At 60.9% G+C, this 27,563-nt stretch overlaps 2 protein-coding genes and 2 long non-coding RNA genes across 43 annotated transcripts in view, besides 9 other annotated features; 1 reads left to right on the top strand and 3 right to left on the bottom strand.

The window, feature by feature from the left end:
• The window catches only part of FAAP20 (FA core complex associated protein 20), a 28,244-nt gene extending 1,040 nt beyond the window's left edge, over positions 1-27,204 (top strand). The window contains exons 1-11 of one of the 24 annotated variants that reach the window (XM_047448517.1): positions 3,948-4,125; positions 5,014-5,166; positions 5,257-5,376; positions 5,507-5,541; positions 8,051-8,117; positions 10,456-10,631; positions 13,558-13,674; positions 17,548-17,653; positions 17,771-18,042; positions 18,706-18,836; positions 19,605-19,780. In XM_047448517.1, the coding sequence (XP_047304473.1) occupies positions 5,287-5,376; positions 5,507-5,541; positions 8,051-8,117; positions 10,456-10,631; positions 13,558-13,674; positions 17,548-17,653; positions 17,771-18,042; positions 18,706-18,823 (981 nt within the window). In that variant the 5' untranslated portion in view covers positions 3,948-4,125; positions 5,014-5,166; positions 5,257-5,286 and the 3' untranslated portion in view covers positions 18,824-18,836; positions 19,605-19,780. Of the gene's footprint in view, positions 1-3,947; positions 4,126-5,013; positions 5,167-5,256; positions 5,377-5,456; positions 5,546-7,541; positions 7,629-7,881; positions 8,246-10,455; positions 12,928-13,538; positions 13,675-16,908; positions 16,994-17,547; positions 17,684-17,770; positions 18,043-18,705; positions 19,781-21,899; positions 22,134-24,474; positions 24,844-25,431; positions 25,678-26,167 lie in introns of those variants that run through there. The other 23 variants (XM_047448516.1, XM_047448526.1, XM_047448529.1 and 20 more) reach the window with 23 other exon arrangements.
• Positions 1,263-2,116: an enhancer, noted in NCBI's record as "H3K4me1 hESC enhancer chr1:2141004-2141857 (GRCh37/hg19 assembly coordinates)". NCBI's record gives its function as "activates a minimal SCP1, AML or CMV promoter by ChIP-STARR-seq in naive H9 embryonic stem cells {active_cell/tissue: H9 hESC(naive)}" and the evidence as "EXISTENCE:reporter gene assay evidence [ECO:0000049][PMID:30033119]".
• LOC105378593 (uncharacterized) lies at positions 2,346-4,668 on the bottom strand. Its single transcript, XR_946826.2, has 3 exons — positions 4,580-4,668; positions 3,781-4,295; positions 2,346-3,253 (listed from the first exon to the last, which is right to left on the bottom strand). It is a non-coding gene; the product is annotated as an uncharacterized LOC105378593 (long non-coding RNA).
• Positions 6,158-6,457: a silencer, noted in NCBI's record as "silent region_107". NCBI's record gives its function as "represses an Ori minimal core promoter by ATAC-STARR-seq in GM12878 lymphoblastoid cells {active_cell/tissue: GM12878}" and the evidence as "EXISTENCE:reporter gene assay evidence [ECO:0000049][PMID:35858748]".
• Positions 6,169-6,327: a silencer, noted in NCBI's record as "fragment chr1:2136793-2136951 (GRCh37/hg19 assembly coordinates)". NCBI's record gives its function as "represses an EF-1alpha promoter that drives an FKBP-Casp9 reporter gene in an ReSE screen in K562 erythroleukemia cells {active_cell/tissue: K562}" and the evidence as "EXISTENCE:reporter gene assay evidence [ECO:0000049][PMID:32094911]".
• Positions 6,848-7,847: an enhancer, noted in NCBI's record as "H3K27ac-H3K4me1 hESC enhancer chr1:2135273-2136272 (GRCh37/hg19 assembly coordinates)". NCBI's record gives its function as "activates a minimal SCP1, AML or CMV promoter by ChIP-STARR-seq in naive H9 embryonic stem cells {active_cell/tissue: H9 hESC(naive)}" and the evidence as "EXISTENCE:reporter gene assay evidence [ECO:0000049][PMID:30033119]".
• Positions 12,056-12,653: an enhancer, noted in NCBI's record as "H3K4me1 hESC enhancer chr1:2130467-2131064 (GRCh37/hg19 assembly coordinates)". NCBI's record gives its function as "activates a minimal SCP1, AML or CMV promoter by ChIP-STARR-seq in naive H9 embryonic stem cells {active_cell/tissue: H9 hESC(naive)}" and the evidence as "EXISTENCE:reporter gene assay evidence [ECO:0000049][PMID:30033119]".
• Positions 15,275-15,941: an enhancer, noted in NCBI's record as "H3K27ac-H3K4me1 hESC enhancer chr1:2127179-2127845 (GRCh37/hg19 assembly coordinates)". NCBI's record gives its function as "activates a minimal SCP1, AML or CMV promoter by ChIP-STARR-seq in primed H9 embryonic stem cells {active_cell/tissue: H9 hESC(primed)}" and the evidence as "EXISTENCE:reporter gene assay evidence [ECO:0000049][PMID:30033119]".
• Positions 16,575-17,054: a silencer, noted in NCBI's record as "silent region_106". NCBI's record gives its function as "represses an Ori minimal core promoter by ATAC-STARR-seq in GM12878 lymphoblastoid cells {active_cell/tissue: GM12878}" and the evidence as "EXISTENCE:reporter gene assay evidence [ECO:0000049][PMID:35858748]".
• Positions 17,065-17,154: a silencer, noted in NCBI's record as "silent region_105". NCBI's record gives its function as "represses an Ori minimal core promoter by ATAC-STARR-seq in GM12878 lymphoblastoid cells {active_cell/tissue: GM12878}" and the evidence as "EXISTENCE:reporter gene assay evidence [ECO:0000049][PMID:35858748]".
• On the bottom strand, positions 19,223-21,883 carry LOC112268219 (uncharacterized). The gene has a single exon (NR_168005.1). It is a non-coding gene; the product is annotated as an uncharacterized LOC112268219 (long non-coding RNA).
• Positions 21,539-21,698: an enhancer, noted in NCBI's record as "active region_47". NCBI's record gives its function as "activates an Ori minimal core promoter by ATAC-STARR-seq in GM12878 lymphoblastoid cells {active_cell/tissue: GM12878}" and the evidence as "EXISTENCE:reporter gene assay evidence [ECO:0000049][PMID:35858748]".
• PRKCZ (protein kinase C zeta) overlaps positions 26,286-27,563 on the bottom strand; it is a 136,892-nt gene continuing 135,614 nt past the window's right edge. For 15 of the 17 annotated variants that reach the window (NR_146911.2, XM_047425255.1, XM_017001790.2 and 12 more), the window contains 2 exons: positions 26,983-27,098; positions 26,286-26,759 (listed from right to left, as the gene is read on the bottom strand). Coding sequence is in view for 14 of the 17 variants with exons in the window: in XM_047425255.1 (XP_047281211.1) it covers positions 26,672-26,759; positions 26,983-27,098 (204 nt within the window). In the remaining 3 variants the exon portion in view is untranslated. Of the gene's footprint in view, positions 26,760-26,982; positions 27,099-27,563 lie in introns of those variants that run through there. The other 2 variants (XR_007061965.1, XR_007061966.1) reach the window with 1 other exon arrangement.

Raw genomic sequence — 27,563 nt, 5'->3', positions numbered from 1 at the left:
CCAGGAGATGGAGACCATCCTGGCTAACACAGTGAAACCCCGTCACTACTAAAAATATAACAAAAATTAGCCGGGCGTGGTGGCGGGTGCCTGTAGTCCCAAGCTACTGGGGAGGCTGAGGCAGGAGAATGGCGTGAACCTGGGAGGCGGAACTTGTAGTGAGCCCAGATTGCGCCACTGCACTTCAGCCTAGGCAACAGAGCAAGACTCTGTCTCAAAAAAAAAAAAAAAAAAAAAAAAAAAAATATATATATATATATATATATATATATATATATATAAAATTAGCCAGGCGTGGTGGCAGGTACCTGTAATCCCAGCTACTTGGGAGGCTGAGGCAGGAGAATCACTTGAACCTGAGCGGCGGAGGTTGCAGTGAGCCGAGATCGCGCGACTGCACTCCAACCAGGGCAACAAGAGCGAAACTCCGTCTCAAAAAAAAAAAAAAAAAAAAGAAAGAAAGAAAAAGAAAAGAAAAGAAACTTGCTCCCAAGAGAGGCAGTGGCATGGCGGCAGGGGCCCAAGGAGCCCACAGATGGCCAGAGTAGGGGTATGGTGTACAGCACGGTCTGCTAGGCACCCGCCGTGGTGCCCAAGGGCATCCAGCCCCTGAGAGTGAGTCTGTCAGAACACCCTGGCCCCAGGTCGCACAGCTCTAGGGCTCCAGCCCGGGCAAGACAGGCGCTGCAGGGCCCGGCCCCACACCCTGGTCCCAATCAGGCATCTGGATAGGGGCAGCAGTCGCTAAGCCCAGGCCCAGGTCCCCCGCAGCAATCGCCAGCTTGCGTCCCTGTCTGGGACCACACTTTACCCAGCTGCCTCTGCAACGCCAGCCTGCAGTCTGCCCTCAGCCCAAATTGAGGATGGGGACACCTGGGGCTGGATGGCCACTGGTGACCAAGGTTGGGTGGGCAAGGCTACCCATTCCCAGGGTCACCCTCCAGGAGAAGAGCCCCAGCCCTGGTGCATGTGTGTGCTCTGCTGTGCATGCAGAGACCCACAGAAATGCCACAAGTCTTGGCAGTGTCTTGCAAAAGGGACTAGTGCTGCCCAGAAAGCTTCACAGCCCCCGGAGGGCAGGAGGAGCCCCGAGGAGCCACCCCCACCCAGCCCCCAAGGCCCCCTTACCTGGGGGGTTGCTGGGGTCTCATTGCCGAAGCAGAGCCTGTGACTAGATCAGCCCCACCCCCACCTGGCCTCCTCCCCAAAGCAGGCGTGGAGGGTAGGAGGGCAGGGTCTGGGGTGGGGGAGGCGGCAGGCAGGGCTGTGGGCGCCGTGGGGGGCTGGAGCTCTCAGCACAGGCTGGGTGAAGGTCACAGCCACCCCCTGTCCCGCCAGCACCCGGATGGGAAAAGAGGACCCTCAGCAGGTGTCCCACTGGCCGACATCGCCACTCCCAGAAACGATACAGAAAGAAGGTGGTTTCGAGGCTCACATTCCTACCCTCCCGCTTGATTTCAGGTGTGAAGTCCCAACTCGCCTCTGTCTGACACGGGCAGGCACACTCGCAGGTCTGGGCACGAGGCAGGCAGGTGAGCCGCCCATCTCCAGAGCCCCCAAAGACCCTGTCACAGACAAGGTGCCTGGAGAGCACAGCCACAGGGCACTAGGCAGGGCCTTTTCCCCCAGCTCCCCTCAGGACCCCCCACCCTGAGGCTGCATTCCAGGGTGAGGTGCTGGGAAGAGGCCTCTCAAGAGGGGGCCCAGTGGGACAGAGGCCCCGTGAGCGTTTCAGTGCCCAGGACAGGTTCTGTGCTCCCTGGATGGAACCTGGCTGCAGCAGGGATGTGCGTCCACTGAAGCGCCTCCTCCGACAAGCTCTGTCTGGACAGAAGGCAGGAGGGAGGCTGGAAGGCTGGGAGCCTGAAGGGTCCTGGGGGTGTGAGCAGGGCAGGAGGGAGGCTTCACGTGGAGGGTGTGGAGTTCCTGGACGAGTGGCCCATAGTCCTGCACAAAGTGGGGTGGCCGAACGCCACCAGCACCAAGCAGCCCCCCTGAACTTCGTGTGCCTCGGCCTGCTGCCCTCCCCCTGTTGGCTCAGGATCCAGCTGTCCCCGCTGAGCCCCACGGGAGGCCCCTGGCCTGAGCTCTGGTCAGCCAGATGTGTCCTGCCCGACAGGGTCCGGGTGCAGGCCAGGGGGCTGGGCCCTGAGGGCGCTGGGTGGGTGAGTGTGGAAATGGTTTCTTCTGTGGAGTTGACTACATGCCTCCCTACAGCAAGCACACGGACACAGCGGAGAGTTCCTGTTCTAGAGAGCTGGCAGCTTCCTTGGGAGAGCATAAAAAATTAAGTCTCCAAATGTTCTATGTTGGATGGGGGTCCATGTTCTTAAAAGGAATAGACGAGGGTAAGTCGAGAGGTGCTGAGTTGGAGGAGGGCTTCCTATGAGGTCCATCTCAGCAGCCCTAAAATGGGTGTGGGATAAGCTTTCGGGGCGGGGGCCAGCAGCGCAAAGGCCTGGGGGCAGGACGGTGCTTGGTCCCTGCAGGATGCATGCAGCAGGTGGGGGACGGAGTGGTAAGAGAGGACGCGAGGGAGGGGGTGGCAGATGGTGGGTAGAGGACACCGTGCCTGTTTGCTGTTGACCTCCAGCTTTGCTCCCCTGGGGAACCCGGCCTGGGGGGCTCTGCTCCTAACCTGGGAGGCTCTTGACAGGCCAGGGTGGAGCAGCTGCTGGGTGCAGTGAGTGGGGTCCGGGCTTTGTGCCTCCTGCAGCTGTGAGGGCTCCCTGAGGTGCTTGAGCCCATGACTCCCCATCCCTCCACTTCCCTGCTGGGAAAACTGAGGGCCCAATAAGCGGAATCGATTCAAAACAGATGAGGCTATTTTTTTTCTGAACACTTTGTTTCCAGTCCCACCCCTAGCCTGGCACAGAGCTGGAGTGACTGGCTGAGGGGAGGGCTCTCGCCTGGCCCGGCCCAAACCCCTCTGGGGCCCCTGGCTGGCCCCTCCCAAGCCTGCCCAGGGAGCTGCTGCCCACAGGCTTACCCGCTCTGGCCGAGCATGGGGGTTACATAAACAGGCACATTCGTGACTCCAAAGGGCGAGGCAAGAGGCTGCAGGGACCCAGGTATGGGCTCAGGGTGCTGGGGCCACCTGTACCAGCAGCTGCCCCACAGATGCTGCAGGGAGGGGCCTGGTACTCACCCCCTCCCAGCACCTTCCGCACGCGGGTCCACCTCCAGGCCAGGCACTGCCCTGCGGGCTCTTGTCGCCATGAGTAATGTTTAACTTGGAAGGGCCCGTGGACAACTGCAGGGGAGAAGTTAACAACAAGTTTGGATTGCAATCCGCTTGCCAGGAGGGGGGCAGAGAGAGGAAGGGAGGGAGACAGGGTAAAGTTGAGAGGAAGAAAAGAGACCAGAAGGCGGGCTGGAGGACGTGCACTGCAGGGAGGCAGGGCTGAGAGGACACCCCTGGCCTGGGACCCAGGGCCATGGTCTGTGTGCAGCCAAGGCCCCGGGCTCCCAAGAAGCCCAGGCCCTAGGGCCAGGTGCCCGTTGTGCCCAGGGGTGGGAGCTCTGAGGCTGACTCCCTGGCAGTCACCCCCCCAGGCAGGGGCTGAGCCTCCCACGCCTCAGTTTCCCCTGCAGAAAACACCCTGCATCCAAGACGGGCCTTGGTGTCCAGCCCTGGGGCGGAAACACCGCACGCATGTCCACACACGTGCAGGCACGCGGGCACACACAGGCTCACATGCCTGCACGCATGCGCGCGCGCACGGACACACACACACACACACACACACACACACACACACACACACACACGGGTGTTACCAAAACGGCCCCGCCTGAATCGCTGAGGCCTCGACCCAAGGCCGGAAAAGTCCATGACGCTGGAGCAGGGATGAGGTCCCATTCCAGCAGGCTGGGGGAGGGCCGCCGCACTGGAGCCGGGACAGAGCTCTCCCCAAACAGAGGCCTCCTGCAGCACAAACCCCGGCCTTTTGTGGGGTCAGTGCCCACAGGGTTGAGCACCACGTGCCTGGCTGGGCAGTGCTCCTGCCAGGGTCCCCTTCTCCACTGTAGGAAACACGGCTGCTCCTGCAGCCGCGTCTGCTCTGCTGCATCTCCAGCTCCTGCCAGGCATGGTGTGCGCGGCCCCAAGACAGGGAGTTTCCAGTGCGTGAGTGGGAGTCCGGGCCCCGGGTAGGGCCGATGCCGAGTGGGCGACGGGGAAGGAGAGCGTTGGGCCAGGGATCAGGAGCACACGGCTCCTCTCCCGCCTCCATCTCCGACAGCCCAGATGACCTGGGGGCAGCTCCCTGACCTTGCGGGCTCACTGTTCTCACCTAGAAAAGAGGAGAGCAGCTTTGACTGTCTTCAGCCTCTCCCAGCTCCAGTTATCTACCAGACCACGCCCAAGAAGGCCGGCGAAGGGTGGGGGTTCATCCTCTGAAGGATTAAGGGGACAAGACACCCTGGATGCACAGGCCATGTGGGCCTGCCCAGCTCTGCCCCCACCAGGACCCAGCTCTGCCAGCAGACTGGGAACCTGGGGCACCAGCTCCCTTGGGCCAGGCAAAACATCACATCCACCCCTCACCGGCCCAGCCCTCACTGGCCCCCCACTCACCTCCATTCCAGAATACAACACCTCTCTCTGCCCAATCAATGTTTTTTCACAAATGTGGACTTCGACAGGAAACAGTGCCCTCCTCCCCTGACCTTGCCGTGTTTTCGGGTTTGTCCCTGGGCAAGTCTCCCCTCCTCCTGGACAGAGTGCAGGTCACCGATCTGAGGCAGGGAAGAAGCTGGCTGCATGGGGAGCCACACCTCCCAGGCAGGAGGCCGTGGCCTGGGGCTCGTGGGCCAGGGGTCCCAGAGCCTTTTTTTTTTTTTTTTTTGAGACAGTCTCGCTCCGTTGCCCAGGCTGGAGTGCAGTGGCGCCATCTCAGCTCACTGCAAGCTCCACCTCCCTGGTTCACACCATTCTCCTGCCTCAACCTCCCGAGTAGCTAGGACTACAGGCACCTGCCACCACGCCTAGCTAATTTTTTGTATTTTTAGTAGAGACAGGGTTTCACCGTGTTAGCCAGGATGGTCTCGATCTCCTGACCTCGTGATCCGCCCGCCTCGGCCTCCCAAAGTGCTGGGATTACAGGCGTGAGCCACCACGCCCGGCCCCCAGAGCCTTAGTCTCAGAATCACACCCACCCCACGGTAGGTGCTCAGAGCGACCTTTTCCCACTTCTGGGATCCCTGCAACTGTTTTTTCACTGGAGTTAAACAGTTTCGTTTTATACCTCCCAGCCCAGGGCGTCTGTCACAGCTTTCCAATCCATGAGCCCATCAATCGGACTGGACACAGATAAACTGGGACAGGACGCCGGGTGGCAAAGGCCGGGAGAGCTGGGCCACTCCCTCCAAAAGGTACCTCAGACCGGGGCTGTGCAGGGCTGCAGGAGACACAGGGGGACCCCGTATGGCCCGTTAGAGACAGGGTCTCCCGGATGGCAGATTCCTGTAGCCTCTCTTCCTCCTTCACGCTTTGTTTCTTAAGGGGGAAATCGACCATTGCTGCCTTTCCACAGACAGGTGGGTGAGTACCAACAGGGAAGTGAACTAACAGGGAAAGGCCCTGCCCCCCTCCCATGCTAGAGTGGCCATGCGAACGTAATGATGGAGCCCCAGTGCAGGGACGCCCCTCTCCTGCCTGGGCCCTAATTGGCACGGCACCTGCAGGCCGAGCCCTGGGTCCCCATCCCTGCCGAGAGCTCGGCTCTCAGATCAGACCGAAAAGGAATGAAGACCTTTTAAGGCTTCGGACAGGTGTGCGGACAGGTGGGCCGGGGCCCGGGTAGGGGGCGCAGGCCCGTGTCTCCCGATGCCCTTCCCAGCCTCCCCCTGCGCTTCGCCGGCGATCTGGGCACAGTGGCGGAGGGACTCCCGCGCACATGGGAGGAGGGCGGCTCAGCCTTCCAGTCCCCGGGCGCGCCACTGAGGCCTGCGGCGCAGCGGGGGCACCCGCAGAACGCCCGGCCCGGACCGTGGGCGTACACCGTGCGGCGACGCGCTCGTGGCTTGCATGTGGCGTCCACCTTGAAACGAAGCAGGCTCGACGCTGGAAACTCGTTTCACCCGCCCCTTCGCCGTCCGCAGGCGGCGACTGCACGCTCAGAACCCCCCGCGCGCTTCCCACGCCTCTTGCACGGCCGCCCCGGAAGCGCGCTCGCCCTGGAGGTCGCAGAACGAGCGGCGCGCGCCGGGCTGGGCCTGTGGACCTGGAGGAAATTGAAGCGGCGAGGTGGCTGGGACAGGCTCCCCTCGCGGGGCTCACGGGGACGGCTGCCCCAGGCTGGGCGCCGAGGACACAGCTGGGGCGGGGTGGGGCGGAACGTGGGCGGGACCCTGCGGGGCGGGGCTTGCTTGTGTGGGTGGTGCCCATGAGGGGCGGGGTGTGGGCGCTGCCTGGAAGGACGGTGGCACTGGGAGGGGCGGGGCAAGGGAAGGGCCAGAAGGAGGAGCGGGGGCGGGGCGTAGGGGGCCGGAAAGAGGGGCGGGGCGTGGGGGGAGCCCGGGGGAGGGGCGGGGATTGAGGGGTGGGGCGTGGGGCGCCTGGGGGGCGGGGCTTGAGGGGCGGGGCGTGGGGGAGCCCGGGGGAAGGGCGGGGCTTGGGGACGGGGCGTGAGGGAGCCTCGTGGGAGGGGCGGGGCGTGGGGAGCCCGGAGGGAGGGGCGGGGCTTGAGGGGCGGGGCGCGTGGCGCCCGGGGGGCGGGGCGGGGCTTGAGGGGCGGGGTATGGGGGGCCCGAAGGGAGGGAGGGGGGCTTGAGGGGCGGGGCTTGAGGGCGGGGCGTGGGAGGTGCCCGGGAGGAGGGTCCGGCAGAGGAACCAGGCTGGAGAGCTAGCTCGGGTCTGAGGTGGGGTGAGCCGGCGGCGGGAGGAAACCAAAGGCGGCGGCTGGCTGAGCCTGCAGCTCACTGCTGATTTACCCAGGACCCTGCTCCGGAGGGGTCGTAGCCAGTTTAGCACAAGTCCATCATCCGCTAGTCCTGAAGGCGCTGGGCAGTGGGGTCAGGGGCAGTGGGAGGGAATCCACCCGGCTGACGTCCTGCGGGTTCTCCGGCTCCCGGGGGCTCGGCGGCGGGCGGGGCCCTCAGAGCAGGCCACAGGGCTGTGAGCTGTGAGGGGCGTCTGAGGTCCAAGCTGACGCCCGGAGCCACCGGGATCGCCAAGTCACGCCCCACGTGGCCTGGCGGCTTTTTCCTGGTCCTCCCAATCCCTCAGCCAAAGGCTCTCATTATGTGGAGAAAGGAAGTCACTATTTGGGAGAACTGACCGTCCCCAGGGCACGTCCCAGAAGGGGGCAAATCCCTCTGAGGAAGCGCAGGAGATTCACAGGCAGCCTCTATGCGTGCACCTCCATTCAGGATGTGCCAGGACGGCAGACCACGGCTCACGATGCTGGCAGGACCAACAGCCGGGCACCTGGGCCTGGGGTCACCGGAGGGACACTGGCCGCACACGCGGGCTGCAGAGATAGTGACCATGGGCAGTGCAGCCGCTGGGTGTTGGCCTGTGAGGCCGTCTGTGAGGGTCTGTGGAGGCCAGCAAGGGGCTTTCACATCTGAGAAGCGCATGGGGACCCGAGATGGCAGGAGCTGGCCTCACCAACTGCCCAGATGTGAGCTGGCTCTCCCAGGCTGGAGGGGCTGCCCCAGGGTGCTCGGAGAGCCAGGCACTTACTTCACTCCCTGACCCCGATCCCCAGTGGGAGGTCAGTGGGTGCCACTAAGTCCTCCCCAACCCCACCGGGCGGCAGCATACAAAAACCTGGGTTCACATCCAGCTTGGCCGCTCACTGTCATGACAAGTGGACAGATGCCCCGGGCCTCAGTTGACCCATCTGTAAGTGGGGCCACGCGACAGCACCTCTGTCACAGGGCTGGGTGTGGGGTGAACAGGCTGGTCCCTGGAGGCAAGTAGTGTGGTGCCCTGAGGCCTGAGGCCAGGCTCCAGGACCGCTCAAGGAACAGGGGATTTGAGGCAACTCAGAGAGGACAGGCCCAGCAGCCGGCCCCAGCCTGATATCTTCCCTCCGCTCAGGCCCCAGACGCAGCTGCATCCTGGAGTCCTTCTGAGAAATGTGGGACCTGCCCCAGCTCCACCCCAGGTGAGGGGCACCAGCCAGCTCCAGAGCTGCCTACCTTCCCTGTCAGGTGCACAGGTCAGCGCCAGGCCAACCCCAGAGCGAGAACACCTGTGCTGGACTGAGCTGGAGCAGCAGGGTGGCCTGCACCGGTGAGGCTGCCAGGAACAGTCAGTGCAGCTGTGCCCAGGCCTGGGCAGGGCAGCCATGGGTGGGCCCTGACTGCGGAGGGGTGTCCAGAGAGCCTGCCCCACTATGGAGAAGCCTGGGGGGAAGAAGGCGGCAGAAGGGAGGGCGGGGCTTGTCTCAGCGGCCACTCTCTGGCCTGTCGGGATCCTAGCTGTGCCTTGGCCCCACCTGGGCTGCAGGCGAAGGGCCTGTTCTGAGATTCTGCTGGGCATCAGGCCACTACTTCCAGCGGCCAGATAGCTTCCTGGGGCCTCGGGACCCTGGGCTGCCCTCTGGCCCCGGGGAAGGTTGCCAGGCCATGGGCAGGGAGAAAAGCAGAAGGGGGATGGGAGGGTGAGGAGAGTCTCAGCCAGTGTCCCACTCGGATGGACAGCACTGTTGTCCAGTCACCAGCTGGCTGGGAGGACGGCTCCCACTGCAGGATGGACCCCAGGGAGGAGGATGGAGCTTCATGTCAGACATCATCCCTCACACCACAAAGTCGGAAATTGCTCACCCAGAAGTGGGGGTATATGGCACTTTGGGAGGCCAAGGCAGGAGGATTGCTTGAGGCCAGGAGTTTGACGAGACCAGCCTGGACAATATTATGAGACCCTATCTTTACAAAAAATAAAATTAGCCAGGGCCTGGTGCAGTGGCTCATGCTTGTAATCCTAGCACTTTGGGAGGCCGAGGGAAGAGGATCGCTTGAGCTCAGGAGTTCAAGACCAGCCTGGGCAACATGGCAAAATCCCATCCCGTCTCTACAAAACAAAACAAAACAAAAAATTAACCAGGTGTGGTGGCTTGTGCCTGTAGTCCCAGCTACTTGGGAGGCTGAAGTGGGAGGATTTCTTGAGCCAGGGAAGCATCAGTTGCAGTGAGCCGAGATCATGCCACTAGACTCCAGCTTGGGTAACAGAGGGAGACTCTGTCTCAATAAATAAATAAAATAAAAATAAAGAGGTGTTGAGGATTGCTTGAACCGAGGAGGTGGAGGTTGCAGTGAATCGAGATTTCGCCACTGCACTCCAGCCTGGGCAACAGTGCAAGACCCTGTCTCTAAAACAAAAACAGAAGTAGGGTTGTTGGCTGTCACTTAGCTGGGGCTCGTGGTGATGGGGTCCGGTGGCACATATGGAGGGCATAGCTGGAAGGAACAGAGGCCACCTCCTCCTCGGGTACCTGGTAGGGGAGAGCAGCCCTGGGCCAAGGCCACACGGTGCTGGGGTTTGCAGGACAGCCCGGAGTCTGCACAGGGGCCTCCTGGAGCCTGGTTCTCCAAACAGTCCCTGAGGGAGCACCCAGGGGAAAAGAGAAACAGAAAATCAGGCCCATTTTTGGGCCATAACTTTCAGGCCACTTTTTCTTTTTCTTCTTCTTCTTCTTTTTTTTTTTTTTTTGAGACAGAGTCTCGCTCTGTCGCCCAGGCTGGAGGGCAGTGGCACTATCTCGGCTCACTGCAAGCTCCGCCTCCCGGGTTCACGCCTTTCTCCTGCCTCAGCCTCCCAAGTAGCTGGGACTACAGGTGCCCACCAGCACGCCCAGCTAATTTTTTGTATTTTTAGTAGAAACAGGGTTTCACCGTGTTAGCCAAGATGGTCTCAAGCTCCTGACTTCGTGATCCGCCTGCCTTGGCCTCCCAAAGTGCTGGTATTACAGGCATGAGCCACCGCGCCCAGACTTTTTGTTTTTTTTGAGTTGGAGTTTTGCTCTGTCACCCAGGCTGGAGTGCAGTGGCACAATCTTGGCTCACTGCAACCTCCGCCTCCCAGGTTCAAGCAATTCTCCTGTCTCAGCCTCCCACATAACTGGGACTATGGGCGCACGGCACCACGCCCGGCTAAATTTTGTATTTTTAGTAGAGATGGGGTTTTACCATATTGGTCAGGCTGGTCTTGAACTTCTGGCCTCAGGTGATACACCCGCCTTGGCCTTCCAAAGTGCTGAGATTTGACAGGTGTGAGCCACCGTGCCCAGCCTCAGGTCCCTTTCTCTAAAAGTCAGCAATTCTACCAGATGAACAAAGAAGACCTAAGCCCCCGGCGGTGCCTTCTTGCTCCCTGCCCACGGGTGTCCCAGTCCTTCCAGGCTGTGCCTTCGAGCCTACAGAGGTCGCTCACCGTGCGTGTCCCTGACCCTCTGGAGGATGCGCAGGGCCCAGGCCACCCACTGTCCTTATTTTCCAACACAGGGGCAGCGAGGGAGGCGTTGGATGGAGCCACCCCACGGCTCCTCTGTGAAGGTCTGCACGTCACTCAGAAAGTTGAAGCAAACCAAGCAGGGTTGGAGCCCACAGTTCACAGCCGGCTGCACAGGGGATGCACCAAGCACAGTTTCCTATGACAAGTGGAAACCTGTGCGCCACAGGTGAGCTGGGTCCTGGAAGGTGCAGGGACCAGGCAGCATCTCATCTCAGGACATCAAGGGCTGTCCCCAGCCAGCAGATTTCCCATAAAAACGTGCTGAACTGGGGACAAAGCTGATTCTACAGAGCCGAGAAGCCAGACCTTCCCTGGGGACTCCCGAGGGGGTCCCAGCCACCCTCTCCACCTGCAGAGGTTTCCTGGCCCACTTGGAGGACCTTGGGGGATCCTCCAAGGGCCCCCTTCCAGCTCTTGGCCCATGGGGGAGCCTCTTCCTCAGCTCCGGGTGTGGTGGACAGGAGACCGAGGGCTCCCCGCACCCAGCTGGGCTCAGCGTTTTCAAGCTGAACTTGGTGCGTGGCGGCTTGGAAAGCCGGGAGCCTGCTGCGTGTCTCCTGGGGCTGCTGTGAAAAAATGACCACACACTGGGAGCCTAAAACGAGTGACATGTATATTCTCACAGTTCAGGCAGCTGGTGTCCAAAATCAGTGGTTGGGAGGGTGGAGCTCCGCCTAAAGGCTCTGGGTGGCTGCTGCCTGCCCCTTCCAGCCCCGGGCCCCCGGCATTCCCTGGCGTGCAGCTGCTCCACCCCCAACCCCAAAGCCTCCTTCCTGTGTCTCTGTGTCCAAATTTTCCTTACCTTTTTTTTTTTTTTTTTGAGATAGAGTTTTGCTCTTGTCGCCCAGGCTGGAGTGCAACAGCACGATCTCGGCCTATCGCAACCTCCGCCTCCTGGGTTCAAGCGATTCTCCTGCCTCAGCCTCCTAAGTAGCTGGGATTACAGGTGCCCACCACCACACCCAGCTAATTTTGTATCTTTAGTAGAGATGGGGTTTCACGATGTCTTTCAGGCTGGTCTCGAACTCCTGACCTCACATGATCCACCTGCCTCGGCCTCCCAAAGTGCTGAAATTACAGGCATGAGCCACAGCACCTGGCCAATTTTCCTTTTCTTTCTCTCTCTCTTTTTTTTTTGAGACGGAGTCTTGCTCTGTTGCCCAGGCTGGAGTAAAATGGCACAATCTTGGCTCACTGCAACCTCTGCCTTCTGGGTTCAAGCGATTCTCCTGCCTCAGCCTCCCGAGTAGCTGAGACTACAGGCGCCCACCACCACACCCAGCTAATTTTTGTGTTTTTTAGTAGAGACGGGGTTTCACTATGTTGGCCAGGCTGGTCTAGAACTCCTGACCTCAAGTGATCTGCCCGCCTCGGCCTCCCAAAGTGCTGGGATTGCAGGCGTGAGACACTGCACCCGGACAATTTTCCTTTTCTTACAAGAACACTGCTCACACTGCATTCAGGGCCAACCCTAACCCAGTATCGCCTCATCCTGGTTTGATTATATCGGCACAGACCTTGCTTCCGAGCGAGGCCACTTTCTCAGGTACTGGTGGACATGAGTCTTCGGAGACGCTGCTCAACCCACAGTGCTCCTCCAGCTTGGTTTCTGTGACTTGCCTTCCCCAGAGGAGGGGTGCCCTGAGAGGTCTCCACTCCCTGACCGGCTCCTTGGTGCCGCGCACTCTGAGAGGCTTCCCAGGGAACAGAGCACACAGGACCGCCCTCCTGGGTAGACCAATCAGCATCTGAGCTCACAATTTCCCAGCAGGGCAGTGGGGTGGAGAGAGAAGCCTGGGCTGGGCTGGGCTGGGCTGGGCTGGGGAAGCTTCTCCGGGCGGGGGGACGTCAGAGCAGGATCTGGGGCTGATAAAAGCCCGCCCCTGGGTGGGGGCTGAGTGGTGCGGAAGCTGAGCCCGACACGTGGGGATGGAGGACAGGCTGTGGGAGGGTGTGAACCGGATACTGCTTGAAGGGGTGCTGGGGACTTTGAGAGAGGGCGGCTGGCCCTGTCTGGTCGGGGATGCTGGCCCAGACACAGGCCATGGCTGGGATGGGGTTCAGAAACAGGACCGCTGTCTCTCCCGGGCCAGGGCCCTCCCCAGCTGCTCCTGGCTTTCTGGTTCTTGGGGTCAGGGGCAGGCCTGTGCCATGACCCCGCCACTGAGGCTGTGAGGAGGCTGTCGGTGCCCAAGGGCACCAAGGCACACCCCTACTCTTGCACCCCATGTGTGGGCCCGAGCACCTGCTCTGCTGCCCCAAAGATCTGGCGATGTTTCCCAGGCAACTGTCTCTCACAGCCTGTCTGCCTGGCACTCCCGTATCCCATAAATGCCACCACATCTGGCTATGGGTGGGCGTGCCTGCCTGGCATCCACGGGCCAGCAGGTGTGGTGGAGCACAGCCCAGTTCCTGGCTGCGTCAGAAGGCTGCCCGGGCCTTTTGGCTGTCCTTGCCAGCAGGTGAGCACTGCCAGGGCACCGTGTGTGGGTGCTGGGCCATTTAGCCACATGGGAAGGGGTGGAGGCAGCCCAGTGCCTTCAGCATGTGCCCAGGGTGCCTGTCGGCCACAGGTCTCATTTGGAAATTGGGAGGGTGCACGGCCACCGGGCTGCTTAGGCCTGCCAGCCTCAGGGCCCGTCACCGCTGTCTTAGCCTGATTTGCAGGGTGTCAGCGCTGGGCAGAGATGAACATTTGGGTGACTCTGAGGATGCCAGTGGCTGGGACACTTGTTCTTCCGCGGTGGAAGGAGTTGGAGAGGCCTGGCTCCCTGACCTACGGCCAGCCTGGCTTCTGAAACCAGCTCAGTGGGCTGGGGCCTGATTCATCATCCATAAATGTGTCCTTTTTTGCCACAGAGGGTAAGGGGCCTCCTAGCCCACCGGTCTGCAGGTGCGGGAGTAGGAGATGGGTGGCTCTGATGCCCCCACCCACTCGATCACCTTCTGCTCTGCCTGGGATGCAAACTCCCACAGCTGAAACGTTCTTTTGTAAACATGAATTTTGGCTTAGAAAAAACTCATTTCCACTGTGCACGTGTCAGTCCCAACCAGAAATTATTTTCCAATAAAGCAAAACTCCGTCACCACAGCAGCAGATGGCTCCGAAGAAGTGGAGCGTTTTCATCAGGTTCAACTTTGAAACCTCCACCATCACCATCACCAGCACCGCTGTGTCATGCTGATAACTTGAGGACAGGCAGGACAAGGTATGTTTGTTGGAGGTGAACATGCTTCCTTGTCTTGAGAGTCTTGAGTGGCCGGTCCCCTTCCAGGCCCTCGGCTGGCAGGCAGCTGTCGGGAAGCTGTCAGGCGGGAGGGGATTGGGGGTCAGGCTTCCTGACAAGTGGAGGCACCCGCCACGTGCCCAGAGCAGAGGTCACCCCAGTGCCTTTCTCTGTGGACTTATCTCTGGCTGTAGGTCACAGGGGCCTGCCCCACTGCCCCCTCCCCAGTGGTGACATGGGAGGAGGGGAGATTAATCCAGAGCAGCAGATAAACTGGAGGGGAAGAGCCCCCAGGAGGACAACTGTGACACGTTGTGCTGCCTCTGCGTCCCCAAAGCACCAGGCCCAGAGGCCCTGCCTTCTGCCCCATGGCACTGGCCTGGGGCCCTGGCTCCTCTTCCCTGGTGGCCAAGGGTAAATGAGGCCCACTGGGGTGGCTAAGACTCAAGGGGATGGGGGCCCCCCAGCTTCAGTGATGCGGGCTGGAGCCAGGCTCAGCCAGCCCTGAGGTCCCCTGCAGGCCCGTGCCTCCTACCCTTGGGGCACCCGCAGCGAGAGCTTCCCAAGCAGCCTGCGCCAGCCGGGCAGCGCAGGTGTCCCGGGTCTGGGTCACTTGAGACCCCGCCCTGCTTCTGCTCGGCTCTGCCCCTCTTGGGCCCAGTGGCCAGGGCACCTGCATGGGGGAGCCGGGAGGGGCTGGAAGGATGCTGAAGACCCCAGCAAAGCTCTAGTGTTTGGCTTTCCAGGGGTGGGGGCTGGGTCCTCCCGCCCAGAAAGGCCCCTGTTCTGGGGCAGCAGCCACACACAGGTGTCCCTCACATGGTCCTCCAGGACAGGGCAGGGGCCTGAGTTTCCCAGGCTCTGCCCAAGGGACCCAGGCAGGGAAGGAGATGGGTCCCAGGGGGCTCGGAGCCCATCCAGAGGCCGGCCGGTCCCATGGCAGGAGGGCACTGGACCATGTGGGGGCCATAGAGGAGGAGGAGGCAGGAGCCACCCCCGGGTCCAACAGCAGAACCCTGGGGTTGGGAGCCAGAGTGGGGAAGGGAGAGGAAGGAGCAAGAACACCCCCCACCACCCCCAGCACGGCACAGAGAGCTGAGCAAACACTTGTCACCAAGGGCTTTTCTCCTCTGTCTTTTTTTGTTTTTCGAGACAGAGTCTTGCTGTGATGCCCAAGCTGTTGTGCAGTGGTGCGATCTTGGCTCACCACAACCTATGCCTCCTAGGCTCAGGTGGTTTTCGTGCCTCAGCCACCCAAGTAGTTGGGATTAAAGGTGTGCACCACCATGCCCGGCTAATTTTTGTATTTTTAGTAGAGATGGGGTTTCTGCATGTTGGCCAGGCTGGTCTCAAACTCCTGGCCTCAAGTGATCCTCCCGACTTGGCCTCCCAAAGTGCTGGGATTGCAGGCTTGAGCCACCACACCTGGCCTATTTTTTTTTTTTTTTGAGTTGGGGTCTGGAGTGCAGTGGCACGATCTTGCCTCACTGCAGCCCCCACCTACCTGGGCTCAGGTGATCCTCCCACCTTAGCCACCCAAGTAGGTGGGACCACAGGCACATGCCACCATGCCCAGCTAATTTTTTATTTATAGAGACAAGGTCTTGCCATGTTGCCCAGGCTGGTCTCAAACTCCTGGGCTCAAGCAATCTGCCTGCCTGGACCTCCCCAAGTCCTAGAATTGCAGGCATGGGCTGCTGGGCCTGGCCTTTTCTCCTGTCTTGGGAGGCTGGGACCAGTCTTCCTGGAAGTACCCAAGGCCCTCCTGCAGACCATGGTGACATTTCCAGGAAAGACCCAGAAGCTCGGAGCTGAAGCCAGGGCAGCCAGGACTGTCGGGGAGCCCTGGACACTGGCTGTCTGAGAGCGCTTGGTCAGCTGGCACCTGCCATGTGGTGGACGTGGGGCTGCAGAGACCCCACGGCTGGGCTTCTCTCGCCTGAGAGCAGGCCCAGCCACAGGCTACCTCCCACAGGGCCCCCTGAGACCACACGGCCTGCAGCAGCTCCCCCAGGCCCCCTCCCCCTGCCCGGGCAGCACTCAGCGCTGCATCTCCATCTGCTCACTCAAGTCGAAGGGCCTGGGGGTTGGTGCCTCCATCTTGTTCTGCTGGGGGCCTCCAGCATCTAGAGCAGGAAGGTGTGCGGAAGAAAACCACTCATGCAGGGAGAGGGGGACCTCCCAGTCCAGGCCCTGCTGCTGACCCTTTCCCTGAACACCAACCTATGGCCTCCAGGCTGGGGCCCCTTGAAGGACGGTGGGCCACTCGGGTGGCCTGGGTTCAGGGCCGGGCTCCACAGCTGAGTTCTGGAGGGAGGGCACAGACGACTGGGGGCTGGGAGGGGCCAGGTGAGGGGTAGGAACAGCCAGGGAGCCCTGCAGGAGGGGTGCCCAGCATAGCCCCAAAGCTGCTGGGGCTGGGCAGGGCAGAAACTGCCAAGGAGTCCCAGAGCCCTGAGTGGCGTCTGGCGAGGGCCCCTGACCCTGATCTCTGTAGACCCCACTCCTTCCGTGAGGGTGGCAGCCACTCCAGGGCCCAGCAGGGCCAAGGGAGAGGCAAGTGGCCTGGGCCCATGGGGCACTGGGCACAGCCAAGTGTGGCACCAGGGTGCCTGGGCGGCTGCTGCCACCACGTGGCCGACTTTGAGGTCGCAGAGCCCGGGGTCCAGGCAGGAAAGCCCCTCAGCTGCCCCCAGGGCCCTGGCCCAGGCCCCTGAGGCCCAAGTGAGCCACCTGGACTTTGTCACTTCGCCTCTGGTTTCTTGGTTAAGGAGCTTGAGTTCCCCGCCTTTTGTAAAGAAACGGTGGTGGCGACGGCGGATTTCAAGCTTTATTTACTCCTGGAATGGTCCTGGGAGGAGAGGCGGCTCCGCAGAGCCGGAAACGGGGGCGGGAGCTGTTGGGTGCAGCCGGGAGGAGGCAGTGCCGGGGCGGGCCGGGCAGCCATCGGGGTAACGGAGGGGGCTCCGGCCCGGGGGCTGCCCGGACGGGAAAGGGGACACGGGCGGGGCTCCCCCACCTGGGCCCCCCACCCTCACGCCAGGCCCCCCTGTGCGGTGCAGGACGAAGGAACCCTGGCCTCAGTTTCCCTACAGGCTGGGATCAGGGCCCCTGGGGTTCCGACTGTCTCGGAGGGGGGCGGCCTCGCTGCAGAGGTCTGGAGGCGGGGCCGGGGCGGGGGCGGGGCCTGGAGGGGCGGGGGCGGGGCTTGCGCTCACTTCCGCCCGGCGCGGGCTTGGATGGAGGCGGCGCGGAGGCCGCGGCTGGGGTTGAGCCGCCGGAGGCCGCGCCCGGCGGGCGGGTGAGGCCGGGAGCCGGGCGGGGGCGCGGCCGGTTTTCCCGCTCCCACGTGCTTCCCGGCGCCCCCGCGGGCCTCCCGCTCTATTCTCCCCCTGGGGAGGGCTCCCTGCCCCCGGGCCCGGCCCCCACGCCCGTCGCCCCACCCCGCGCCGCCATTCAGCGCCCGCCTTGAGCCCCCACCCCACGCCGAGCTTCCCCCGCGCCGCCCCAGGCCCTCCCGCGCCTCTCCCATCATCGCGTCTCCCCTGAGCACCCCCCATCTAACCCTCTACCTTCCCCAGGCCCTCCGCAATCTCCCCAACCATCGCCTCATCCCGCTGAGGACCCCATATTTCCACCCACCCACCCCGCTCCCCCACCCCCAGTACCCCTCATCTCCGCACTGTCTGCCCCAGCAGCCCTTCCCCCAACCCTGCCGGCCACCTCCCGCACCATCGAATTTCCCTCTAGTACCCCCCATCTCCCCGCTCTCTCTGCCCCAGGCCCTCCCGGGTCTCCCCACCATAGCGTTTCCGCTACTGAGTACCCCCTGTCTGCCCTCTCTGTCTGCCCCAGGCCTTCTGGCGGCCGCCCCTGGTTTCTCCTGGGGGGTGATGAGCGGGAGCGGCTCTGGGCCGAGCTACTGCGCACGGTGAGCCCGGAGCTGATCCTGGATCACGAGGTGCCTTCACTGCCCGCCTTCCCAGGACAGGTGTGCCCACTGGGCCCATCTTAGCGATGAAGGGGTTTCCAGGGCGGGAGCCATCGCTGGGCAAGGCCCAACAACTCTGTGTTGCAGGAGCCCAGGTGCGGCCCGGAGCCCACTGAAGTCTTCACTGTCGGACCCAAGACCTTTTCCTGGACACCCTTTCCGCCGGACCTGTGGGGCCCGGGCCGTTCCTACCGGCTGCTTCACGGGGCAGGAGGGCACCTGGAATCCCCCGCCAGGTCCCTGCCCCAGCGCCCGGCACCTGATCCCTGCAGGGCCCCCAGGGTGGAGCAGCAGCCGTCTGTGGAGGGTGCCGCGGCCCTGCGCAGCTGCCCCATGTGCCAGAAGGAGTTCGCCCCCAGGTGAGTAGGCCACCCCTGCGCCCGGCCCGGTTATCCATCCGTGTTTGGAAACCACAGCCGTTCAGAAGGTCAAGAGGTGGCCGAGCTCAGCGCTGGCTTTTAAAGCCCTGTTTCACACTGGAAAGGTGGCCCAGTGCTGTGGCCTGGCATGTCCAGGTGGCTCTCTGTCACGGGTCTGGGGTCCACCTGCTTGCCGTGCTCTGTGGGCAGGGCAGGCTGGGGGCCCACAGAACAGCACAGAAGGAAGGCTGGGAGCACTGGCCCCGGGTCCACCTGGCCATCCTGGAATCTGGTGGCACCAGCGTCCCCAGGCCCAGAGCACAGGAACACCTTCCCGAGAGTGCGTCATGGGTTTTAAAAATGAAGATCGTCTTTTTTGTCTGGAGATGCTTTTTCTTATTTTTGAAACCCAACGTATATTTTTATGTATTTTTTAAGTAAAGGGGAATGGAACCCAGTTTTGCTAACAAGATAACCCAAACTGCCCAGTGCCTGGCCTTGTGTCTGGCGACCTCTGGGCCCTTGGCCTCCGGAGCAGGTCCTGGGGCTGGGGTGGTGTGAATGATGCTGGTTCGTAACTTTTGGTTGAGTTAATGGGCGGCAGGTTTCAGAGCTTATGGAGACCAGGTCCTTCAGTCATGCCTGATGCCCCTGGTCTTCCAGAAGCAAAAACAGCTCGGGAATGCGAAGGCACCGGAGTCCAAAGTTGGCAGCCAACAACAACAACAACAAAAGAAAAGGCCGGGCACGGTGGCTCACGCCTGTAATCCCAGCCCTTTGAGAGGCTGAGGCAGGTGGGTTGCTGGAGCCCAGGAGTTTGAGACCAGCCTGGGCAACATGGCAAGATCCCATCTTTACATGCCTGGGCGTGGTGGCGCGTGCCTGTGGTCCTAGCTACTCTGGAGGCTGAAGTGGGAGGATTCCCTTGAGCCAGGAATTGGAGGCTGTAGTGAAGTATGATTGCACCACTGCACTCCAGCCTGGGTGACAGAGTAAGACCCTGAATCACGGACAGAGGGTACTGTTGGGAGCCCTGGGGAGAAATCCATGCTCTTGGCTGAAGCTCTGAGATCCTTGTTGCTGTCAGGGTGCTGCCCCCCGCCCCCCGGGGAGGGGCTTTTGTCTTTGCATCGCCTGCTTTTCCAGATAGTCTAAAAAAAGACTTCTGAAGACAAGGACGTTCACGAGGAAAAACTTGCCATTTTGAGCTTTTTAAGCAGTTGCTGAAAGCTTGGCAGACTGCCTCAATTTTTCCTAAGTAGGCGTCAATGAAGTCAGGTCCAGGCCTTGGTGTGTCTGGAATGCTTCAAGCACATTCGAACACTTGATCGTAAGGGAGAGCCGGTACTTTGGAACCGGAACTCACCCGAGGCTGTGGCCACCGCATGGGCAGGCTAGCTGGGGGACAAGCCCCATATCTTTGGGAACAAGGGTTTGCACAGCCACCCTGGGATGCCCTGGGACTCCTGACCGCACAGGACCCCAGCAGGGAGGCCGCCTGGATTGGAGGGTCTGGTCTAACAGCCGGACTTGGTCTTGAACCGTCGCCCTGTCCCGCACAGGCGCCTGCTGAGCCTGGAGCCCTGGCAGAGGCGGGTCTGGGGAGTGGAGCTGCCAGGAGGCCTCCCATTTCTCACAGCCTTGGTGTTCTCCGGGTCACCCAGAGGACCGTCAAATGCTGGATTTGACAAACTATGTAGAATGTTCTTTGTGTCTTTAAGATCTTCTTGTGGTCCTATTTGGACATTTTGTGCATTTTCAGACACCTGCGGGTCACGTGGGTGGATGGGAAGCTGGGCACCTGGTGAGGGGTGAGGATGTTGAGAGCCAGAGCTGCGTTTTGTCTCTGTTGATGTGGCGAGGCCCTGGGTTGGTCACTGGGATTTTTTTTTTTTTTTGAGACGGTGTCTCGCTCTGTCGCCCAGGCTGGAGTGCAGTGGCATGATCTCGGCTCACTGCAACATCTGCCTCCCGGGTTCAAGCGATTCTCCTGCCTCAGTCTCCTGAGTAGCTGGGATTACAGGCGTCACCACACCTGGCTAATTTTTGTATTTTTAGTAGAGACAGGGTTTCACCATGTTGGTCAGGCTGGTCTTGAACTGATCTCAGGTGATCCGCCCGTCTCGGCCTCCCAAAGTGCTGGGATTACAGGCGTGAGCCACCGCGCCCGGCCGGTCGTTGGGATTTTAACAGCCCTGAGGCCCCTCACGCTGCCAGGTGCCAGCCCACCCTGCAGCCCTGCTCCCCTGCCCACACGCAGAAGCCACCAGAGGCTTCTGGACTGAGCCCCCACTGTCCTGCAGCCGGGCTGGCCTGTCCACACCACAGGGCGTGCTCAGCTACTGAGCAGAAGCGTCACGGACAGGGCAGATCAGGCCAGGACAAAGCTCTTCCGCCACAGGCGGGGGTCTGAAGGCATCTCAGAGGGCCCCCAAACAAGGGACGCTGCCTGGAAACCCCGGGACAAGATGACCTCGGTTCAGATCTTAGCACCTTCTGGCAACCTTAGAGAAAGCTTCTGGAGGGAGGGGCTGGTTCCCAGGATGGGCAGAAGCCGGAAAGTCTCAGACTGAGTGACCCTCGGGGGCTTCAGAAGGCACTGGGTGGGCTCTGCCAGAGTGAGAAGGCAGCTGATGGCTGCTGGAGCCAGCCCCGGGAGTGGGGGTCCAGCTATGGTCTGGAGAGGGGGACTTGAGGGTTGCAGTGGCCACACAGACGGGGCACAGGAGCCAAAGGAAGGGACACAGCAAAGCCCAAGGGTAAAACGGCGCGCCGTGGACTGGTCTGAGGGCAGAGGCTGTAGGGGAGCGAGGGGCGGTGTGGCTGACAGGTGGACACAGGGACACGTGTCCTGTGGACTTGGCCGCTCAGTGGGGGTGTGTCCCCCAGCAGTGGCGTGTGAGGGATGGTCACTCTGATGGGACACTGACCACTTGGCCTCCAGCAAGATCTAGGCCCAAGTCTAGGCTGAAGCCGCCCACTCAGCCCCGGGACATCGTCCCCGGCAGCTCTGCTGAGCACGCCAGCTCCGGCACTCTCCGGGAGTCATGGCCGGAAGTCAACTGTCCTGGCTTCCAGGGCCACACCTTGGCCAGGCCTGGTGATGGTCATTTCCAGCCGCTCCAGTTGGGCTGATGGGGCCACATGAGGCCGGGGATAGAAGGTGGCTGCGCTCAGACACCCCTCCCGGCCCCACTGGATGCCCAGGGCGCTGACCTGCAGGACTCGGATGGGTTTTCTCCTGCCACCCCTGCCTGGCCGGCCACCATCCCAGCGCCAGCGCCCTCCTGAGAGGTGCAGGGGCCGCGTGGGGCCTCCCAGAGTGGCAGGTTGGCAGCCTGCACGCCGGTGACGGCGTCCTTCTCCGTGGTGAGGCTTGGTCCCTCCTCGCCAGAAACACCAATTCTCTGACGTGAGCTGCACATCCACTGCCCAGCCATGTTTACTCTTCTGCCTCCTGTAGACGCAGCCGCGGCGGCTCTCCCTGGCAGGCCACCCGCCGTCCTGCCTTTTCTCCGGGTCAGGCCGCCTGTCTGCCGGGCTCCACGATGAGCGCGTTCTCAAGCTGAGCAGGCGCCAGAATCCCATAGAGAGGCTTGTTGAGACACAGCTTCCCCACCCCCAGCTCGGACGCAGGGGCCTGGCGTGGCCTCCTCACGGGCACGGTGTGGAAACACCACTGGCGGTTACCGTGGTCTGCCGGGTGCATGAGCCCCTGGGGTGGCCCCGTCCCTTGTTTCTGACCAGCCGGATCCTCTCCAGCGGCAGGAGCAGAGAGGGCCCGGAGGTCCAGACGGTGCTCTCTGCGGCCAGCATGCCGCGGAGGTGGCCGAGTGAGTGTGGCCCCTCCCTTGCAGGCTGACCCAGCTGGATGTTGACAGCCACCTGGCCCAGTGCTTGGCCGAAAGCACAGAAGACGTGACGTGGTGAGCGCCATCCAAGAGCCCTGCGCAGAGTGCGGCGCCCGGACACGCTCTCCCCCGCCAGCAGCCCCGCCTCTCGGCTCCCCCGCCAGCAGCCCCGCCTCTCGGCTCCCCCGCATGCGCATTAAAGCAGGGCGGGCTCCTGTCTGTCTCTGTGTTGTGATGAAACGTCTGCCGCTTTTCTTTCTGACGTTTGGTTTAGGGCAGATTCACTGCAGTGCAATCAGAACCAGACACAGCCCCAGGCGGGGAAGCTGACCCCTTTCCCCTGGCGCCCCCACTGTGGACAGCGGACGGGCTGAGGGTAGCTCGTTTTCCTAACTTTGTGGACAGGCGTGGTTAGCTCATGTGCAGTCACGGTTTTTTTTTTGTTTTTTTTTTTTTGAGACAGGGTCTCGCTCTGTCGCCCAGGCTGGAGTGCAGTGGTGCAATCACGGCTCATTGCAGCCTCAGACTCCTGGGCTTGATGATCCTCCCACCTCAGCCTCCTGAATAGCTGGGACTACAGGCGCGCGTCACCACACCCAGCGACTTTTAGTATTTTTTGTACAGATGGAGGGGTCTTGCCATGTTGCCCAGGCTGGTCTCGAACTCCTAGGCCCAAGCGATCCTCCCGCCTTGGCTTCCTGAAGTGCTGGGATTACAGGCGTGAGCCAGCAGCCCCAGCCTCTGGTGGCGTTCTTTTTGTTTTTTTTTTTTTTTTTCTTTTTTGAGACGGAGTCTCGCTCTGTCGCCCAGGCTGGAGTGCAGTGGCGCGATTTCGGCTCACTGCAAGCTCCGCCTCCCGGGTTCACGCCATTCTCCTGCCTCAGCCTCCCGAGTAGCTGGGACTACAGGCGCCCGCCACCACGCCCGGCTAATTTTTTGTGTTTTCAGTAGAAACGGGGTTTCACCGTGTTAGCCAGGATGGTCTTGATCTCCTGACCTCGTGATCCGCCCGCCTCGGCCTCCCGAAGTGCTGGGATTACAGGCGTGAGCCACCGCGCTCCACCATCGGTGGTGTTTTAATTCCCCAAAATGAACTTGCAGCTGCAGCTAGTTATGAAAAGGAAAGGCTCCTGCCACCGTGTGCTGCGGGCCTGTAACTCCCCAATCCCTAGGTTGAAATCCTCACCACAAGGCAAGAACTCTGCCAGGACAGGAGGTCGGGGCGGCGCCTCTCGATGGGATTAGTGCCCCATAATGGAGACCCTGGGGAGTTCCCTTGCTCCTTCTACCGTGGGGGACACAGGCCAGAAGAGGGCCGTCCTCTGGAGCCGAGAGAGTCTGGTTGAAGCCCCAGGTCTGTGGTCGTTTGTTAGGGCTGCGGGAGCTGAGACTCTCCGGGGGCTCCAGGGCCTCATCATTCGCCAGGGGTTTTGAGGCAGCTTCTCCTGAAATCCGGAGTTTCTGGGGAAGGACAGCAGCAGTGGGCATCTGGTTCACCCAGATCCGTCAGCCACCGTCTGCCTGGGCTCACAGTGTGAGTGGAGCACAGAAAGCAGCGTCTTCAGGGAGCTTCCTGTCCACTGCTGTTCAGCCCCCAGGTTCTGGAGAGCCGGGCTTTGCGGGCTCAGCTCTGACCCCCGTTTGTGGTGGCTGAGGGAACAGATCTGGGGGCAGACGTGGTGTGAACACCCAGACGTCTGTATTTTCCTTTCAATCATGGCCTCAGATAGGCCGCAAAAAACACGGAGCCATAAATGCAGATCACTAAGGGAAAGAAAATGCTACACACTGTGATTCCAACCCTAGGGGGTTCTGGAAAAGGCAACACCGTGAGGACCAAAAACATCAAGAGAGTGCAGGGGCTAGGAAGGCACAGGCGGAGCACAGGAGGTCTCCGGGGCATGGGCTCCTCTGCATGGCCCCACAGTGGTGAATCCACACTGTCACGTGCCTGTCCACACCCACGGGACTGACGGTGCCCTGGGCGAGCTGGGCGGGAACTCTGGGCGTGGGGCGACGACAAGGGCAGGCCCAGCAGCTGTGAGCAGCGTGTCCTGTGGTGGGGGAGGCTGGGCAGGGCAGGACGGGCAGGGCAGGGGCATGGGGACTTGGCTGCACCTTCTGCTCATTTTGCTGGGAGCCTAAAACTGCCCTGATATATGCCTACTTAAGAAAATGGCTTCAGGCCGGGCGCGGTAGCTCACGCCTGTAATCCCAGAACTTTGGGAGGCTGAGGCAGGTGGATCACCTGAGGTCAGGAGTTCAAGACCAGCCTGGCAAACATGGTGAAACCCCGTCTCTACTAAAAATACAAAAATTAGCCGGGCGTGGGGCAGGTGCCTGTAATCCCAGCTACTGGGGAGGCTGAGGCAGGAGAATCGCTTAAACCCGGGAGGTGGAGGTTGCAGTGAGCCGAGATCTCGCCACTGCACTCCAGCCTGGGCTACAGAGTAATACTCTGTCTCAAAAAAAAGAAAAAAAAAAGAAAAAGAAAAAAAAAAAGAAAATGGCTTCAGAAACCTTTGCTTCTTGGAAACACCTGCTTTTAATGAAAATAATAATGTGAACATTTCCATTAAAGTCTTTCATGGATGTGCAAGACTTTGAATGACCCTGGCAGTCAAGGGTGAGTGTCATCCACAGGAGAGCCGGCCAGCCACGGGCTCCATGGGCAGTTGCCCCGCACCACGCCCACGCAGGCCCACTGTGCAGCCCCCAAGTCACCAGAGTTTTCGAGAACCACTTCCAAAAGACACCGTCGTGACCGGAGCCATTAGCAAATATCAGGATTTTTCAAACCACACTTCAATACATCCTTCACTTTAATTTATAAAACAAATTACTGAATATAAAAGTCTCCCCTCTGATGAGCACAGCATTACTCACATATTGTGTACAAGAACGGCCAAACTGGTAACCGGCACGCTACTGGCAACACGGCAGTATTTAGGTAAGTGCCTTCAATATTTAACAAATCAAGGAGGCTCATGGAAAGCAGTTTGCTTGTTAACCACTTCTGGGATACACTGGGGGTCTCCCACTCAAGGTGGGGTCCCGGCAGCCCTACTCACCCGGCAGGTGTAACTTCAGCGGCCGCAGGCTGGGCCTGGCCACCTGGGCATCCCCACGCTGGTCTGGGACACCTGTGTGAGACCCAGGTCGGCTCCTGGACTCTGCCCTGGGGTTTCTAACTTTCCGTCTTTGGAGTTGAGTCTCAACAGCTAAGGTTGGGAGTGTGGCTGAAACCCGTCTCCACATTCCACCTAGAAGCCTGAGCTGGCCGGGGGGGGGCGGGTGTCCAGGGTCTCGGGCCGGGGGGAATGGGCCGGCAGTATGCCCAGCGCTGGCATTCTTGTCCTGGCACCTGGGGCTTGGGTGTGAATCCACCATGTCGTGCTGAGCGCCAGGCACGGAGTGGCACCCTGAGAAACCTGAGTGTGTAGGGTGGGCCACGCTCACCTGCTGGGGATGACCTTGAGGCAAGGCAAGGCGCGGCACAGACCTCCTAACTTGGGGTTTTACGTCTCTCTTCCCCAAGCCACCAGCCGCACAATGGGGTGGAGCGGCCCCTGAGTCATGGAGGCCTGGGGTCTCTGCGCCTGGCCAAGAGGGCTGCGTGGCAATTTCCACACCTGTGCACCAGGCCTCACTCAGAGGCATGAGGTGGCGCGACCCCCTCTCCCAGGGAGCTCAGAAGACGGCTCTGCCACACCTGACACCTGGCAGCTGGCAGCCCTGCCTCTAGGAAGCCTCAGCTCTGGACAGCTGTGCCTTCACCTGAGGGGTGGGTGGACGGAGAGCGCGGGTGTGTTCCCGGGAGCAGGAGGTCCGCGCCGCTGGGAAGAGTGCCTGTGTTTCTGGGTGTTTGTAGGGTCATCACGTTCAACTTTAAGGCTGGGGTCCGTCACATGCACATCTTTTAGTTTTCCCTAACTCTCAGTGCTGTGTGACAGATAAGAATATCTTCCAAAAATCAAATGCGTCGCACGAGGCATCGTGCAGGCACTGCTTAGTGTGGTCAGAAATGATTTGTGCAGATTTAGTGTTCAGTTTTTTCTCTTTTTTGGTCTACTGTGCTTTGGTGGGCCACGTTTTAGAATCTCTATGATCCAATTTCCCCCATCGGTCCAGTGAGCTGGCTGGCCCAGCTGCCATCTGCTTAAGGTGTCACTTCACCCTAGACCACAGCGGCTGGGACACACTCTGCAGGAAGAACAACAGGAACTTACCGGGGTTTTTAGGAAACAATTCTTGATTGCGGTGTGTCCCCACAGGTACTTCAACTCCCGCCCCCACCTGTGTCCCGCTGGCTCCTAAGCTGCCCCCCTACGTGTGGGTTGCGTCTGAGATGTGGGGCAGGCGCCACTCACGGAAAAAAGGCATCAGAGGAGCTTCCACATCATCGGAACATTTTATTCCTCAGGACGCTACACGCTCACTTTCCTGGCGGAGCAGGTCAGTGCATCGAGTTCTGTTTCCGTGGAAAATGTGCACCTTGGAAACCGCATGACAGCCCCCTCGGCAGGGTCCCCGCGGATCCGCCGCGACGCAGGCACAGCAGCAAGTTCCTCCAGCACGAAGCTGGCCTGCCCGGGCCCAGGTGTGAGGGACTGTTCTGCTCCCAGCAGCGCCCGCTGACGCTTCCCTCTGCGGTCTCGGCGCAAGCGTCTGTCCCTGGCCGCCCTCGGAGCCGTGCCCAGCCTGGCATGCATATGCGGTGGTTAAGGATACAGTTAAAGGGTCAATCACGCGTGTCCACGACAGAGACGCACGCGGCCTCACACCGACTCCTCGGTGGACAGCAATAATGGGTTGATATACTCAAAGCCTTCGAACTCTGACTGGTCGATCCTCTTTATGGCATCCCTGTGGGCAAAGGTGGCAGGGGGGAGGGGGGTGACCGTGTGTTCATTCCCTTGGGGGAAGCGGAGTCACGTTCGCATAAGAATCCTCCCCCAACGCCCACTGGAGAGATGACACCAGGCGGGTGGGACTCAAGGGCAGGCTGGGTCACCAGCTGCCCAAGGTGCCGGCCTGCCATGGGGCTGCCCGAGGGGTGCTCCAGGGACCCGCACCCAGTGGGACTCACTCATCGTCTGGGGTCAGCTGCACGGGCTCGCTGGTGAACTGTGTGTCAAAGTTGTCCAGACCGTAGTCGTCTGTGATCTGTGGCTGGAATGGAGGGAGCGCCTGCTTCTTCTCCAGCTTGGAAAAACAATAGGAGAAGGGTCAGCTCCGCGCGGGCATCATCCCTACCAGATTGAGTGTTTTGCACGCACTTCAATCACAAAATGAAACAGTGAGAAAGTCAGCATTTCAATCTGCCTAGTATTTGACTGCCAAGTGTTTTTTCTTACAACACAAAATCTAGAAAATATCCAAAGTCAGAAAAATTGTTGTCGAGCTGAGAAATGCCAGTGTCGGCCATGCTGGCCACATGTGGGACGGAGCAGGATCCCCAGCCACCCATGCGAGGCCACCCCCTTCCTTGGGGGGGTCCTTGTTCAGAGGGGCACCGACAACTAACTGGCTGAACAAGCCGTCTCATGACGTCTTGGAACCCTGACCATAAAGGTGTAGGACCTGGCCACAGCACCCTGCCTGCGCTGGCACTGCACAGACCCGTCTGTCAGGAGCCTCCTGCCGGCCCATTTCTGCCTATCCAGGCAT

Source organism: Homo sapiens, chromosome 1, assembly GCF_000001405.40.
Source record: "Homo sapiens chromosome 1, GRCh38.p14 Primary Assembly".
Classification (NCBI taxonomy): Eukaryota; Metazoa; Chordata; class Mammalia; order Primates; family Hominidae; genus Homo; species Homo sapiens.
Note: the sequence above shows the minus strand (reverse complement) of the source record. Positions and strands in the feature narration are given on the sequence as shown.